Consider the following 17,453-nt stretch of genomic DNA (forward strand, 5'->3'; position numbering starts at 1 on the left):
TCTGATTGTTCAATTCCCACCTATGAGTGAGAACATGTGGTGTTTGGTTTTTTGTCCTTGCAATAGTTTGCTGAGAATGATGGTTTCCAGTTTCAACCATGTCCCTACAAAGGACATGAACTCATCATTTTTTATGGCTGCAGAGTATTCCATGGTGTATATGTGCCACATTTTCTTAATCCAGTCTATCATTGATGGACATTTGGGTTCGTTCCAAGTCTTTGCTATTGTGAACAGTGCTGCAATCAACATACGTGTGCATGTGTCTTTATAGCAGCATGATTTATAATCCTTTGGCTATATACCCAGTAATGGGATGGCTGGGTCAAATGGTATTTCTAGTTCTAGATCCCTGAGGAATCGCCACACTGACTTCCACAATGGTTGAACTAGTTTACAGTCCCACCAACAGTGTAAAAATATTCCTATTTCTCCACATCCTCTCCAGCACTTGTTGTTTCCTGACTTTTTAATGATCGCCATTCTAACTGGTGTGAGATGGTATCTCATTGTGGTTTTGATTTGCAATTCTCTGATGGCCAGTGATGATGAGCATTTTTTCATGTGTTTCTTGGCTGCATAAGTGTCTTGTTCTGAGAAGTGTCTGTTCATATCCTTCGCCCACTTGTGGATGGGGTTGTTTGTTTTTTTCTTTTAAATTTGTTTGAGTTCATTGTAGATTCTGAATATTAGCCCTTTGTCAGATGAGTAGGTTGCAAAAATTTTCTCCCATTCTGTCAGTTGCCTGTTCACTCTGATGGTAGTTTCTTTTGCTGTGCAGAAGCTCTTTAGTTTAATTAGATCCCATTTGTCAATTTTGGCTTTTGTTGCCCATGCCTATGTCCTGAATGGCATTGCCTAGGTTTTCTTCTAGGGTTTTTATGGTTTTAGGTCTAACATGTAAGTCTTTAATCCATCTTGAATTATTTTTTGTATAAGGCGTAAGGAAGGGATCCAGTTTCAGCTTTCTACATATGGCGAGCCTGTTTTCCCAGTACCATTTATTAAATAGGGAATCCTTTCCCCATTGCTTGTTTTTCTCAGGTTTGTCAAAGATCAGATAGTTGTAGATAAGCAGCATTATTTCTGAGGGCTCTGTTCTGTTCCATTGGTCTATATCTCTGTTTTGGTACCAGTACCATGCTGTTTTGGTTACTGTAGCCTTGTAGTATAGTTTGAAGTCAGGTAGCATGATGTCTCCAGCTTTGTTCTTTTGGCTTAGGATTGACTTGGCAATGCGGGCTCTTTTTTGGTTCCATATGAACTTTAAAGTAGTTTTTTCCAATTCTGTGAAGAAAGTCAGTGGTAGCATGATGGGGATGGCATTGAATCTATAAATTAACTTGGGCAGTATGGCCATTTTCATGATATTGATTTTTCCTACCCATGAGCATGGAATGTTCTTCCATTTGTTTGTATCCTCTTTTATTTTATTGAGCAGTGGTTTGTAGTTGTCCTCGAAGAGGTCCTTCACATCCCTTGTAAGTTGGATTCCTAGGTATTTTATTCTCTTTGAAGCAATTGTGAATGGGAGTTCACTCATGATTTGGCTCTCTGTTTGTCTGTGATTGGTATATAAGAATGCTTGTGATTTTTGCACATGTATTTTGTATCCTGAGACTTTGCTGAAGTTGCTTATCAGCTTAAGGAGATTTTGGGCTGAGACGATGGGGTTTTCTAGATATATAATCATGTCATCTGCAAACAGGGACAATTTGACTTCCTCTTTTCCTAATTGAATGCCCTTTATTTCCTTCTCCTGCCTGATTGCCCTGGCCAGAACTTCCAACACTATGTTGAATAGGAGTGGTGAGAGAGGGCATCCCTGTCTTGTGCCAGTTTTCAAAGGGAATGCTTCCAGTTTTTGTCTATTCAGTATAATATTGGCTGTGGGTTTGTCATAGAGAGCTCTGATTAAGATACGTCCCATCAATACCTAATTTATTGAGAGTTTTTAGGATGAAGGCTATTGAATTTTGTCAAAGGCCTTTTCTGCATCTATTGAGATAATCATGTTTTTTTTGTCTTTGGTTCTGTTTATATGCTGGATTACGTTTATTGATTTTCGTATGTTGAACCAGCCTTGCATCCCAGGGATGAAGCCCACTTGATCATGGTGGATAAGCTTTTTAATGTGCTGCTGAATTCGGTTTGCCAGCATTTCATTGAGGATTTTTGCATCAATGTTCATCAAGGATATTGGTCTAAAATTCTCTTTTTTTGTTGTGTCTCTGTCAGGCTTTGGTATCAGGATGAGGCTGGCCTCATAAAATGAGTTAGGGAGGATTCCCTCTTTTTCGATCGACTGGAATAGTTTCAGAAGTAATGGTACCAGCTCCTCCTTGTATCTCTGATAGAATTCGGCTGTGAATCCATCTGGTCCTGGACTTTTTTTGGTTGGTAAGCTATTGATTATTGCCTCAATTTCAGAGCCCGTTATTGGTCTATGCAGCGATTCAACTTATTCCTGGTTTAGCCTTGGGAGGGTGTATGTGTTGAGGAATTTATCCATTTCTTCTAGATTTTCTAGTTTACTTGCTTAGAGGTGTTTACAGCATTCTCTGATGGTAGTTTTTATTTCTGTGGGATCGGTGGTGACATCTCCTTTATCATTTTTTATTATGTCTATTTGATTCTTCTCTCTTTTCTTCTTTATTAGTCTTGCTAGCAGTCTATCAATTTTGTTGATCTTTTCAAAAAACCAGCTCCTGGATTGATTGATTTTTTTCAAGCGTTTTTTTATGTCTCTATTTCCTTCAGTTCTGCTCTGATCTTAGTTACTTCTTGCCTTCTGCTAGCTTTTGAATGTGTTTGCTCTTGCTTCTCTAGTTCTTTTAATTGTAATGTTAGGGTGTCTATTTTAAATCCTTCCTGCTTTCTCTTGTGGGCATTTAGTGCTATAAATTTCCCTCTACACACTGCTTTGAATGTGTCCCAGAAATTCTGGTATGTTGTGTCTTTGTTCTTGTTGGTTTCAAAGAACATCTTTATTTCTGCCTTCATTTCTTTATGTACCCAGTAGTCCTTTAGGAGCAGGTTGTTCAGTTTCCATGTAGTTGAGAGGTTTTGAGTGAGTTTCTTAATCTTGAGTTCTAGTTTGATTGCACTGTGGTCTGAGAGACAGTTTGTTATAATTTCTGTTCTTTTACATTTGCTGAGGAGTGCTTTACTTCCAACTATGTGGTCAATTTTGGGATAGGTGTAATGTGGTGCTGAAAAGAATGTATATTCTGTTGATTTAGGGTGGAGAGTTCTGTAGATATCTATTAGGTCCGCTTGGTGCAGAGCTGAGTTCAATTCCTGGATATCCTTGTTGACTTTCTGTCTCGTTGATCTGTCTAATGTTGATAGTGGGGTGTTAAAGTCTCCCATTATTATTGTGTGGGAGTCTAAGGCTCTTTGTAGGTCACTAAGGACTTTCTTTATGAACCTGGGTGCTCCTGTATTGGGTGCATATATATTTACGATAGTTAGCTCTTCTTGTTGAATTGATCCCTTTACCATTATGTAATGGCCTTCTTTGTCTCTTTTGATCTTTGTTGGTTTAAACTCTGTTTTATCTGAGACTAGGTTTGCAACCCTTGTCTTTTTTTGTTGTCCATTTGCTTGGTAGATCTTCCTCCATTCCTTTATTTTGGGCCTATGCTTGTCTCTGCATGTGAGATAGGTTTCCTAAATACAGCACACTGATGGGTCTTGACTCTTTATCCAACTTGCCGGTCTGTGTCTTATAATTGGCGCATTTAGCCCATTTACATTTAAGGTTAGTATTGTTATGTGTGAATTTGATCCTGTCATTATGATGTTAGCTGGTTATTTTGCTCGTTAGTTGATGCAGTTTCTTCCTAGCCTTGATGGTCTTTACAATTTGGCATGATTTTGCAGTGGCTGGTACCGGTTGTTCCTTTCCAGGTTGAGTGCTTCCTTCAGGAGCTCTTTTAGGGCAGGCCTGGCAGTGACAAAATCTCTCAGCATTTGCTTGTCTGTAAAGTATTTTATTTCTCCTTCACTTATGAAGCTTAGTTTGGCTGGATATGAAATTCTGGGTTGAAAATTCTTTTCTTTAAGAATGTTGAATATTGGTCCCCACTCTCTTCTGGCTTGTGGAGTTTCTGCCAAGAGATCAGCTGTTAGTCTGATGGGCTTCCCTTTGTGGGTAACCTAACCTTTCTCTCTGGCTTCCCTTAACATTTTTTCCTTCATTTCAACTTTGGTGAATCTGATAATTCTGTGTCTTGGAGTTGCTCTTCTCGAGGAGTATCTTTGTGGCGTTCTCTGTATTTCCTGAATTTGAATGTTGGCCTGCCTTGCTAGATTGGGGAAGTTCTCCTGGATAATATCCTGAAGAGTGTTTTCCAACTTGGTTCCTTTCTCCCCGTCACTTTCAGGTACACCAATCAGACTTAGATTTGGTCTTTTCACATAGTCCCATATTTCCTGGAGGCTTTGTTCATTTCTTTTTATTCTTTTTTCTCTAAACTTCTCTTCTCACTTCATTTCATTCATTTCATCTTCCATCACTGATACCCTTTCTTCCAGTTGACTGCATCGGCTACTGAGGCTTGTCCATTCATCACATAGTTCTTGTGCCATGATTTTTAGCTCCATCAGGTTCTTTAAGGACTTCTCTGCATTGGTTATTGTAGCAGCCATTTGTCTAATTTTTTTTCAAGGTTTTTAACTTCTTTGCCATGGGTTCAAACTTCCTCCTTTGGATCGGAGTAGTTTGATCATCTGAAGCCTTCTTCTCTCAACTGGTCAAAGTCATTCTCCATCCAGCTTTGTTCCGTTGCTGGTGAGAAGGTGTGTTCCTTTGGAGGAGGAGAGGTGCTTTGATTTTTAGAGATTCCAGTTTTTCTTCTCTGTTTTTTCCCCATCTTTGTGGTTTTATCTACCTTTGGTCTTTGATGATGGTGACATACAGATGGGTTTTTGGTGTGGATGTCCTTTCTGTTTGTTAGTTTTCCTGCTAACGGTCAGGACCCTCAGCTGCAGGTCTGTTGGAGTTTGCTGGAAGTCCACTCCAGACCCTTTTTGCCTGGGTATCAGCAGCGGTGGCTGCAGAACAGCGGATATTTGTGAACCGCAAATGCTGCTGCCTTATCATTCCTCTGGAAGTTTTGTCACAGAGGAGTACCCAGCCATGTGAGGTGTCATTCCAACCCTTCTGGGGGTTGTCTCCCAGTTAGGCTACTTGGGGGTCAGGGACCCACTTGAGGAGGCAGTCTACCCATTCTCAGATCTCCAGCTGCATGCTGGGAGAACCACTACTCTCTTCAAAGCTGTCAGACAGGGACATTTAAGTCTGCAGAAGTTATCGCTGTCTTTTGTTTGTCTGTGCCCTGCCCCCAGAGGTGGAGCCTACAGAGGCAGGTAGGCCTCCTTGAGCTGTGGTGGGCTCCACCCAGTTCGAGCTTCCTGGCCGCTTTGTTTACCTACTCAAGCCTCGGCAATTGCGGGCGCCCCTCCCCAGCCTTGCTGCCTCCTTGCAGTTTGATCTCAGACTGCTGTGCTAGCAATGAGCAATGCTCCGTGGGCATACAACCCTCCAAGCCATGTGCGGGATATAATCTCCTGGTGTGCCATTTGTTAAGCCCATTGGAAATGTGCAGTATTAGGGTGTGAGTGACCCGATTTTCCAGGTGCCATCTGTCACCCCTTTCTTTGACTAGGAAAGGGAATTCCCTGACCCCTTGTGCTTGCCTGTGAGGTGATGCCTCGCCATGCTTCAGCTCACACAGGATGCACTGCACCCACTGTCCTGCACCCACTGTCCGGCACTTCCCAGTGAGATGATCCGGCATTTCCCAGTGAGATGAACCCGGTACCTCAGTTGGAAATGCAGAAATCACCTGTCTTCTGTGTCGCTCATGCTGGGAGCTGTAGACTGGAGCGGTTCCTATTCAGCCATCTTGGCTGCACCCCCTCCAATATACTCTTCCATCCAATATACTACAGTGTCTCTAAAATATTATTTTTATATCCAATTGTTGCTTATTAGGGAAGTCCCTATATTCTCTATATGTATGATTATTTGTAGGGCCTTATATAGGCCTTTAAAAAGTTATTATTATCCTTTGTCTCTTTACAAATATTTATTCATGTGTGTTTGCACTGTGCTAGGTATATCAATCAATAGGCAAAAAAAGTCAATCGTAACTCTTCACCAATGTTTGAATTGATTTTTAATAAAAAAGAAGGTGTTCTCCTAAGAATCTTGAAAAATCGAATTTCTATCTCTACCTTCTTCTTCTGTATTAAAGCATCCAAGGACCTAGCTTACTGGACTGATGAGAAATTTATTACCACACAGCCCAGTCAGAGGAATGTAAATGCTATAATCAACCACATGTTCCATAAGAAATGCATTAATCAGTATAGGTTAAATAATAAAAGTTTTAATATTTAATATGTTTTCCTAGAACAGTGGAAAGATTCAGCAACAAGATAGCAATGTAGGTGACATAAGGGAAACAGAGCAACATCGTATGCCCCCTAGGAAGGACCCTGCAGCAGACCTGACTTTGTTCATCACAGGCACCACAGAGCATACTAAAATCAAATACCAAATATAAAACTCAGGTAGAGTTTTAAAGGGCCACAAAAATGTCAGTGCAGCAGGTGTTTAGATGATCTCTATGGAAAGCACATATTAACAACAACCCCAGTACAAATTAACACTTGAAATATTCATCATTACATAGTGAGATTTGTATTATGTAGGGAAGAAAGAGGAGAATGACTCAAATAACTAAATTTTAAATTTGAAAGAGCTTTTCAACTGTTTGATGAAAACAGCTCTAAATATATTTTTACTTATCTATCATTAGCTTCTTGGAATTTTTATTCAGAACACTAAAATATCTGAAAACTGGGCTCACTTTTGAAGATCAGATTTTATTTAGGATTCACTTTACAAATGCAAATTTTAAACAACATAGAAATTCAGTTTTTTTTTTTAAAAGAGATAACATTCTTTTCATTGATTCCCCTACTTTACATGAACATTCTGTTAGATACTGTCTGGAAAAAATAAGTAAGAAATAATCTGTGCAACATAAAGGTGATTATATTCCATTAGGGAAATAAACACATAATATATTTTGGTATTATATAGCAAGTAGAATATTATACATAAATTTAAGAGGAAAAAAGGGGAAAGAACACCTACACCAGTCTATTTGTTTAAGAAAAAGCTCCTTGGAGGAGGTACCCTCTAAGTTGAGTCTTCAAGAGTAAGATTAAAGTAAAGAAAGGCAGATAGAACAGTTCAAGCCACGGCAGTATGTTACAGTGTGTTATGCAGGAGAAAAACTTCCAAGCATATTGGCAATTCAACTCTAAAGTGAAAGGCAGCTTTATTCTAACTAGTAAAAGATCAGTAAATAAAAGGTGCACCTATATGTCATGCAGGACTTAGTCAAATATAATTAAATATAATCCACTGAAAAAATAAAACTGAAGATAATTTTTAATTATTCTTAGGGTTGTATTACATATCTTTCAGATCAGAATGTCTGGTTAGATTGTTTACATGAAAGAGGAAAAATATTGTGTTTAGCAGATTCTTTAGAAATAGAAAATAGTTTAGTATTTTAAAAACTTGCCTCTTTTATTCTTTTCTATATTTTACTATGTTTCAAAATTGAATACTGTTTGAGAATTAATGTGTATTTTTGCATTTACTCCAGATTCCTAGGCTAACTCTTAATTTAGCATATAGAGCATATCTCAAATATTCAAAATATAGAACATTTTGATAGTTTTTCACTAAGATAACTTCAGTATAAATTAAGCAAATTAATGAGTCTTCTTTTACCTTGCCATCATACTATTTTTCACAAAGCAGCAGAGAGCTATTCCTTTAGCAATACTAAATACAGCTAATCTACAGTGAGGCCCTCTAATAATCTTGTTACTTATAATAACCCATGCCATGCTAACCACAACTCCAGTAAGAGCTGTTATTATTGCCTTCATTTTAAAAGTAAAGAATAGTCCACTCTAAAATTTGGATTTTAAATACGGAGTTATGCTGCCTTTGAGCACTCAATTTAACTTTATAATGAGAAAAAAATGATGGCAGAATAAAAAGGGAGTTATATAAACATATCTTAATTAATTTTTAACATTTTAAATTAAACTTAATACATTTGGCATATTTTTTCAACCTCATTGAAAAACTACAAAGGTTTCTAAAGACTAGTTACTGTTTATGCAGAAAATAACACCGGTTCACATTGTATTCAATGACCAAACAACAGGATAATTCTCTATGTTTCTCACATGTTTAGACGAGTTGAAGGCAAGCAGAATTGCTGCAATGGCATGCATGGGAAGGACACATTTTTATTTCAGTTATCCTCCCCTAAATATGAGATTTTCATTCATGGGATACTAGCTAGCCCATGAATTTAGCCAAGGATATAACAGTAGTTCATTTCTATAACAGAGGAGAAGACATAAGTCAGTATAGCTGAAAGGATCAGCATTTTAAAAGAATGATGGTAGTTGATGAATCAATTTCACCTATTACCATGTTACACTAATAAGAGAGAAAAAAGGATACTTAGAAATGAAGGGTAGTAAATATGGAGCAAATAAACTAAAATGATATAACAGAGTATACAATCAACGTATGGAATATACTACTACCGAATGTTATCTCATTGAATAATGTGAATAGATTCTTCAAACATCCAGGGGATTTTATGACCATAGACCACATTTATCTTCATATAAGTTAAAAAGATGGTAATCGGCCGGGCGCGGTGGCTCACGCCTGTAATCCCAGCACTTTGGGAGGCCGAGGCGGGCGGATCATGAGGTCAGGAGATCGAGACCATCCCGGCTAAAACGGTGAAACCCCGTCTCTACTAAAAATACAAAAAATTAGCCGGGCGTAGTGGCGGGCGCCTGTAGTCCCAGCTACCTGGGAGGCTGAGGCAGGAGAATGGCGTGAACCTGGGAGGCGGAGCTTGCAGTGAGCCGAGATCCCGCCACTGCACTCCAGCCTGGGCGACAGAGCGAGACTCCGTCTCAAAAAAAAAAAAAAAAAAAAGATGGTAATCAAATCTCATGCTTCTGGAAGGAAAGTGATTGCCTATTATACATTATTTTGGATAATGTTTTATTTGGTTTCCTCTGAATTATTGGCTGGCATAGGAAGGATACTAATAAATTGTCTTTTATTCTTTGGGATTTTTTGTTTGACTCACTTTGTGGCTCTGGTCTCCCATTGTTTTGTATTGCAGTTAATCGCGCACATATCCAAGCATTTTCCATCCTCAAATTATTAACTCCATACTAAGGAGAACTAAGTTGATCAAACGTGTATTTTCCAAATAACTATTAAAGTAAGTTACATATGATAAGGGGTCAATAAGTAATGTGCTATGCATTCTTCTCTCTTAGGGAAAAAGTGAGCTACTGAAAAGATTCAAATAGTATTCTTCTGAAACGGTGCTTAGAGAAAAAGAGTATTTTTTTCATCTATATTTAGTTATAGGTAACATGATTGATTAGCTGTATTATGCAGTTTTATTTTTTCCAAGATTTTATCAAGTTGTTTTTCTGAGACATAGAAAAGATATTATTATTATTATTATTATTATTATTATTAGTTTGAGACAGTTTCACTCTTGTTGCCCAGGCTGGAGTGCAATTGCGCGATCTTGGCTCACCACAACCTCCGTCTCTGGGTTCAAGTGATTCTCCTGCCTCAGCCTCCCAAGTACCTGAGATTACAGGTGCATGCCACCACACCTGGATAATTTTTTTTGTATTTTTAATAGAGCTGGGGTTTCGCCATGTTGGCCAGTCTGGTCTCTAACTTCTGAGCTCAGGCAATCCACCCACCTTGGCCTCTCAAAGTGCTGGGATTACAGGCATGAGCCATGGCACCTGGCCCCATTTAGCTTCTCTTTCAAAATTAGCCTGGAATCTCACCTCACCACCTGCACTTGGATAAGTCGCCAACACAGCCCAAAGCCAATCATTGACCACGTGGCTCACTGTAATAGCCTCCTAACTGGTCTCCCTGCCTCCACTGTTCTGATTCATTTCATCGTGGCAACCAGAATTATCTGTTTATAGTAACAGACACATCATGTTATCTTCCTGATCTAAACCTTCCCTTGGCTTGCCATCTTTTGTAAAATAAAATCCAAAGATTTTTGTCTTTTTCAGGACCCTACATGACCTGGATTATGATTGTATTTTCAGCTTCATTTCCTCTCGCATGTTTTCTATGTTGCTTTGACCCAGTCCTATTCTCGCCCTGCTATTCTGCAAGCGCATGCCTACAGTACCCACTTTTACCATTGTTCTCCTGGATACTTAAAGGGCTGTGTATTTCATTCTGATTAGTCACCTCCTCAAAGAAGTCTTGCATGGTGATTCCTATCTAAAATAGGAACCCCAGCCATAGTGATACCAATTATTACTACCTGACATTATGTTTTATTTTATATTTTATTTGCTCCTTGTCTGAATTCCTCACTAAAATGTAATGTTCATGAGCACGGGAACGTCATCCACTGCAATATTCCTAGTACTAAGAGTAACACCTATCACCTAGTAGGTACTCTGTAAATACTGGATGGATTAATGGATATTACATTTATTTATATTTATGTAAAATATGTTTAAAGACTACATATATTGCTTGCTAAATGGAGTCCAATCAATTTGAATGCATGTGCATACATACAGGTGCTCCTAATTTGTTACACGTGTAATTAGATAAGTGGCAATTTAATTGGGAGGGAAGAGCAGTATAACCTGGTAAAAATAAAATGGAGAGATGTGAACAAATGAGAGAAGAGAAACTCAAGGAAAGATGAAAAGGAAACACATGAAAATATGGAGAATCAGTAGACTAACACTCAAAAGAAAAAGAAGCAGTGTATGTGGGGACAACGAGTAAAGCAAAAGAGTAATTTGTAAAGAAAACACATAGCTCTACTTCATAAGGTGTGGATATTGGGTTATAGCAATGGGTGAAACAGAGTAGACAGTCAGCCTGGAGACCGAAGGATGCTAGTTAAGATGTGTTCCTTAAAGTGCTTTGCTTCTGGGCCATCTGCCTCACCAAGATATTCTTCCTATAACAAATGAGAGCAGGATTGCTAGCAAGTTAAATGACTCTGGCTCCTTTTTTTTAATTTTTCCCCCAGATTCTTAACAATGAAAGTTGTTCAGGCCTGTAAGTCAGATCATGACATCTCTATAAACTCATACATATTATTTCCCTGGCGCCAGAAGTTGATGTGTCATGGAAAGATGGCCTACAGCTATGCCTTATAAAGCTGAAAAAATAAAGCACACGATGTTCCTCCTGTTGTCAGGCATTCTCCTTACAACTAAACCATGCTGTCCCCCTTCATTCTGTTTGTTCTGACAAGTCTGCATGTCAGGCCATCTATTCCCTTTTACAGAGCTATGTTGATAAAGTGCTTGGTCATACTAAAAGTCCTGGAGATCTCATCAGTGCAAGATTTTCATTGAACCAGCTGCTTATAAAATTTTTCATGGCAAGTCAGCAAAGCTTAAGTGTGTAGCCATGGTCAGAGTACGGCTTAAATGAACTGGCCAGGCAGTTGCTCTGTGGGTTATTTGTAACGTGCATGACATCTATACTCAATGTTTTGACATGCTTGTTAATTTATCACTTGAATCCTAGAATAAACTCAGAAATTGTTTTTCTCTTTGTTTTTTCTATTTAGAAAGTGGTCACAATTACAATTAAATTCATTTTTTTTGAACTTCATTAGACTCTTGATGTTATCAAGGGATATCTCCAGAAATATGTTAATTAGATTAACGCATCTAATCCCCATATGTGTTAATATCACTCAAGTACTTTCCATGCAATATAAGAAAAAGACTTTTAAAAACTCCAGTTGGCTAAAGGTGTTGTGTAGTTGGCTGTACTCATTTCTGAAACATCAGCCCTCGGTGCTCATTATTCACCTGCCTCAGGAAAATTACTATTTATTTTAGGCTGTGGACCCCTGATCTCTTGCAAATACTCAAATCTGAGTATGAGAGTCCTTGGATATTAAGATTCCACTTCATGGCAGCCTTATGTATATCTCAATTCTTCATATTCCCTTGAATAGTGTGGACTGCCTAAGCTAAACTAAGAAAAGTGGAAACCAATTATCAATAAGATAGTGAAAAGAAAAGCATTTTATTCTAGGTCAATAAACACAAAATCAAATAAAGACTTGGAAAGGTATTTAGGAAGGAAATTATTAGAATAACTATTGAATTTCACTACTATAATTGACAAAGGAGACAAAGGGAATTAATTTGGTTAACCATCTTAATCTGTATTTAATTTATCCAATTTTATGAATGGCTGAAATTAAATTTTTGGTTAAAATTATGTAAATTTTTTTTTTCAGAAACTAGTCTAAAATGTCCGTATTTGTATACTAAACAAATTCTTAAGATGATTTCTAGATTAAGACTCACTAAGAGTCATATGGTCATATGCTTTAAACATCTAAAGTTATAAAGATTAATAATTGAAAATGTAGACATTTTCCAGAAAATTTTAAGAACATAATTAAATAATCCAATAAGAGCTATCTTCCATTTAAAGAGATATTAACCTTAATTTTTTCATGCAAATAATTATTTTAAAACACAGAGAATATCTAGATCAGTCATTTATATAATCCAAATTTATCAATTAAAAACCATTCTTCGCTCCACTTTTGTTTATTCATGGCCACTCTTTGAGGAAGTAGAAAAATATACATATTTCCTAAAATTGCTAGAAGTAATACAAAATGGTCAATAGAGTTTTAGACATTTAAAAACATCACCTCAATGTTTTATCTTCTAACTGGTAACTTTATGAAAATCACAGGGGTTACTGATTTATTATCTGTACATTTAGCAATATACAGTTAATAGATACCAGAGGCTATACAGTCTTGACATTTGGTATTAAAGATTTCTTGTGTATTATTTCTTTGTAATAAGACAGATCACTATGCATGTCTAAAATTAGATGGTAATTTGATAACAGTAATACATAAGCCAGTACTACACTTCCAAGGAAAGCATTCAATTTATTAACACACAGTGCAACTGAAGAAAGGTATCAAATCTAATTTCCTATGAGATCTTGATCAATTTAATAATGTCATTAAGAAAATTCCATTCATTGATTCATTAATTTATCAATTTGTTCTATAAATATTGCTACTGACAGATAGCCTAGATTTCAATCCTTACTTTACCCCATAGCAATTGTATGCCTTTGAAGGAGTTACTTTACATCTCTGAGCCTTTATTTTCTTATCAGTAAAGTGGGCATAATAACAGTAATAATTTTATAGGATTGTTTTTAGGATTAAATGAGTTGATTCATATAAAGCTTTTAGCAGAGCTCATGACACTCTGAAAACATTTGAGTTCTTACTAACATTTTTACATTTTTATGTGCCTGAAGCTATGAGACATTAAAGCTATAAAAGCAAGTAATAAAGATATAGTTTCTACCTACATTGAAAACCAAATAAAAACTAGTAGTTAAGAGAGATGATCGCTGAATAAACACTCACCATGTAAGATTGTGACGGTGACAAGTGACATAAGAGGTACAATCTTCTATGGAAGCTATAATAGGAGAATTTGACGTAGTAAGGGTGACTAGAAGTTGTTTTTGCTTTTGTTTTTAATGGCAAAGATAAGAGCATAGATTAAGTACTTTCCACAGAAGAAGCATATTTAGTACAAGAAGGTCTTACAGTAGTTTCCGTTATACAAAATAAATAAATAAGGACCTACAAGTGCAGAAATCCTCCCTTTTTCTTCTCAGTGAGAGAGATTTTTGAACTACACCTAATAGAACATTAAAACACCCCCTTCTGTCATGAAGAAATGCTCAGTATACCAGGTGAATGTAGTGACAGGCACTCACCACCTGAATAAGAGACTCAGGAAGCTGCAACAGATGCAGAATTTCCCATAAAATTTTAAGCTTTATTGAGGTATAATTGATGTACAAAAATTTTGCACAAACCTAACGTATACATTTTGATGAATTTGAACATACATATACCGCCATGTTACCACCACCAGAATCAAGATTCCAAATATATCTGTCACCTCCAAAAATGTCCTTGTGTTATTTTGTGGGGTGTGTGTGTATGTGTGTGTGTGTGTGTGTGTGTGTGTGTAGAATGCATAACATGAAATCTATTCTCTTAACACATTTTGAAGTACAAAATACTGTATTGTTAACTATAGGTATTATGTTGTTCAGCAGATCTCTAGAATTTATTCATTTCGTATAAGTGAAACTTCATTCCCACTGAGCAACAATTTCCCATTTCCTCCTTCCTTGTCCCTGCAACCCATTCTATTCCCTGTTTCTATTAGTTGGACTATTTCAGATATCTCATCTAAATGGAATTATGCAGTAGTTGTGAGTTTTTTTTCTGTGACTGGCCCATTTTACTTAGCATCATGTCTTAGGTTTATCCACATTGTTGCAAATTATAGTATTTCCTTTTTTAAAGGTGAATAGTATTTCATTTTATGTAACTGTCACATTTTATTTATCCATTTTTCTGTCAATGGGCTTTGAGTTGTTTTCATATCTTGGCTATTGTGAATAATGCTGCTAGGAAATTAGGGTGCAAATGTCTTTTCAAGATCGCGATTTTAATTCTTTTGAATATATACCCAGAAGAAGAATTGCTGGATCATATGATAGCCCTATTTTTAAAATTTTGTTGAGGAACCTCCATACTGTTTTTCATAGTGTCTGCACTTTCCACATTCCCACCAACAATCTATAGGGGAAAGTACAATTTTCCATGGAAGCCAAATCATCCTTTCTGAGCACAAATCTAGGTTGAACAATGTGCGTTGTACAGTAGGCTTGGAATAGCATAAAGGGATTGGTTCGTGAAGTCTAAAATCCACAGGATTTATAGATTTATAATGTCCATCTTTCTCTTTATTCTTGGGAATGTTGAGGTTGGGTAAGATTTGCTGGGCTCCCTGTGTCCTGCAAAGTAATAGCAGGGTATAGGATCTTACCAGTTTCGCACACAATATTGACTCTACCAAATTGGGAAGAAGGTTGCACGTTGAATAACCAAAATAAGGCATTTAACTACTAGAAGCTGGGTGGGAGAAAAACAAAGTAGAGTATAGGAGAAGGCAATAGACTATTTCAGAACTGTTCCCTTAGTCAGTATTTTCTTTTCTTTTCTTTTCTTTTCCAGATAGGTAATTCAATTTTTTTTTTATGAGATCTCACTCTGTCTCCCAAGCTGGAGTGCAATGGTGCTATCACGGCTCACTGCAGCATTGACCTACAGGAATTAAGCGATCCTCCCACCTCAGCCTCCTGAGTAGCTGGAACTACAGGTGCATGCCACCACATCTGGCTAATTTTTGTACTTTTTGTAGAGATGGGGTTTCACCGTGTTTCCCAGGCTGATCTCAAACTCCTGGGCTCAAGTGATCCACCTGTCTCAGCCTTCCAAACTGCTGGGATTACAGGCATAAGCCACTGCTCTCAGCCTTTAGTCAGTATTTTACAAACTCCTTTGAATATAAATACCTCCTAATTCACTTGTTAAATATATGGTTTCCCTAACACCTAGCTTGATGGGAACTAATATTTTGCATTTTAAATAATACCCCAATTGAATTTTTCTCATAAGAGGATATTAGAAAAAACTGCATTTAACAACACTGGCAATGGCTGTTGAAAAGAAAATAGAAATTGGTATTTAAACACAGGGAATATCATTTGTAGTTTGTGTAATAAATACATGTGAGATTAAATGCATAAAGTTCTTGTTATATAGTATGGATTTTATCTTCGTCAAAAAATTATCTTGTTATATTGACGAAGTTGCAAGTTCAAGAACTCTAGGATATTCTTGCGGCAAGGTCAGAACTGGTTAGATTTATCATATAGATTGTGGTGCCTAAGATTTACATCATTGTTTATATATTTCTATCTAAAAAATTGTCCTCGGTTTCTTAATTCAATAAGCCTATACACTGAACAGGTATAGGTGCTTTTTACTTATACCAAACACGTACACACAAAATATATGTCAGTGAATAAATAGATTTGTATTTACTTATTTTTAAAAACTTTTATTGTAGGTTCGGAGGCACATGTGAAGGTTTGTTTTATTACGTAGGTAAACTTGTGTTATGAGGGTTTGTTGTACAGATTATTTCACCACCCAGGTATTAAGCCCAATACCCAATACTTATCTTTTCTGCTCTTCTCCTTCCTCCCACTCTTCTCCCTCAGGTAGACTTCAGTGTCTGCTGTTTACAGTTGTCATATTTGTTCTGTATTTTGCTTTGTGGTAGCAATCCTTGTTACAGGTTTTCAGGCCTAAAGCTTTGAGCTGGTTCACCTGTCTGACATCTTTCCTTCACACCTACAACCAGAGAATCCTGGAGACTGCTCAGTGTGGCTGAACATAGATGAGCTATACACTTGCAACTCAGAGCTGAAAACCTTAATCCCTGAAGTAATCTCCTACAGCCTTCAGGTCTTTGGATAATTAACACTTTTATTGAAAATCTTAAAAATCTACTGGAGAATATTTCTAGAGTTTTACAAGATTTTGAAGGTGTGATTCTCTTTCAGTACAGTGAGTTATGCCATTAAATTCCCCCAAATACCTGAAAAGCCCATATGTTTAACGTGCATGCTCTTCCATTGTAGGTTGAAAGCTAAGTGCAAAGGTATAGTATCTAGGGTTCTTCTGTGTCCGTTAGACCAAACCACATCCTATGATGTTTTTGTTACTCTTAAGATACTGTTATTTTTCAATCTTTGCTATTTTTAAAATCTATGTAGGAAAAGGAGATGTGAAAGAAGCAAGAACAAAAAGCCCACCTTTCTCACAATGATTTTGCATTCTCATTTCCATATCTCTTCAAAGGGTTTGGCCTAATTTGGGGTAGGTTTTCATCTCACTAAGTCAGTCCACCCATGCTAATTCAACGTTGCCTTAAGTAGCATAGATATCAAAAGTATATCCTGCTGCTTAAGTATACTGCACTCTTCATTAAGGATTGAAGGATATATGTACAAGGTAATGAGTACCCATGTGAGTTTTATAACCATCATGAAAATTGGTTGCTTTTCCATGGCTGTTTCTTGTATCCCGATTTCAAAGCCCCTTCCAATGCCCCTCTCCCTCTTTCTCTTTCTCTGTCTCAATACTCTCAATGGAAACTTCACTGATAATACAGTGGCAATGCATTTAAATGTTAAGTACTGCAAGGAATATTTTTATATTAAATACATTTCTAATTTAGGTTGGAAAATGTTTGCTATCCAATTGGTAACTTATTTGCTAATAAAAGTTATAGAATAAAAGCAACCACTCCTTTCCTAATCTAAGCAGTTGTGTCCCATGGATTTATGCAAATATATAGGAACT

This window comes from Homo sapiens, chromosome 12 (assembly GCF_000001405.40).
Source record: "Homo sapiens chromosome 12, GRCh38.p14 Primary Assembly".
NCBI classification, from domain to species: Eukaryota; Metazoa; Chordata; class Mammalia; order Primates; family Hominidae; genus Homo; species Homo sapiens.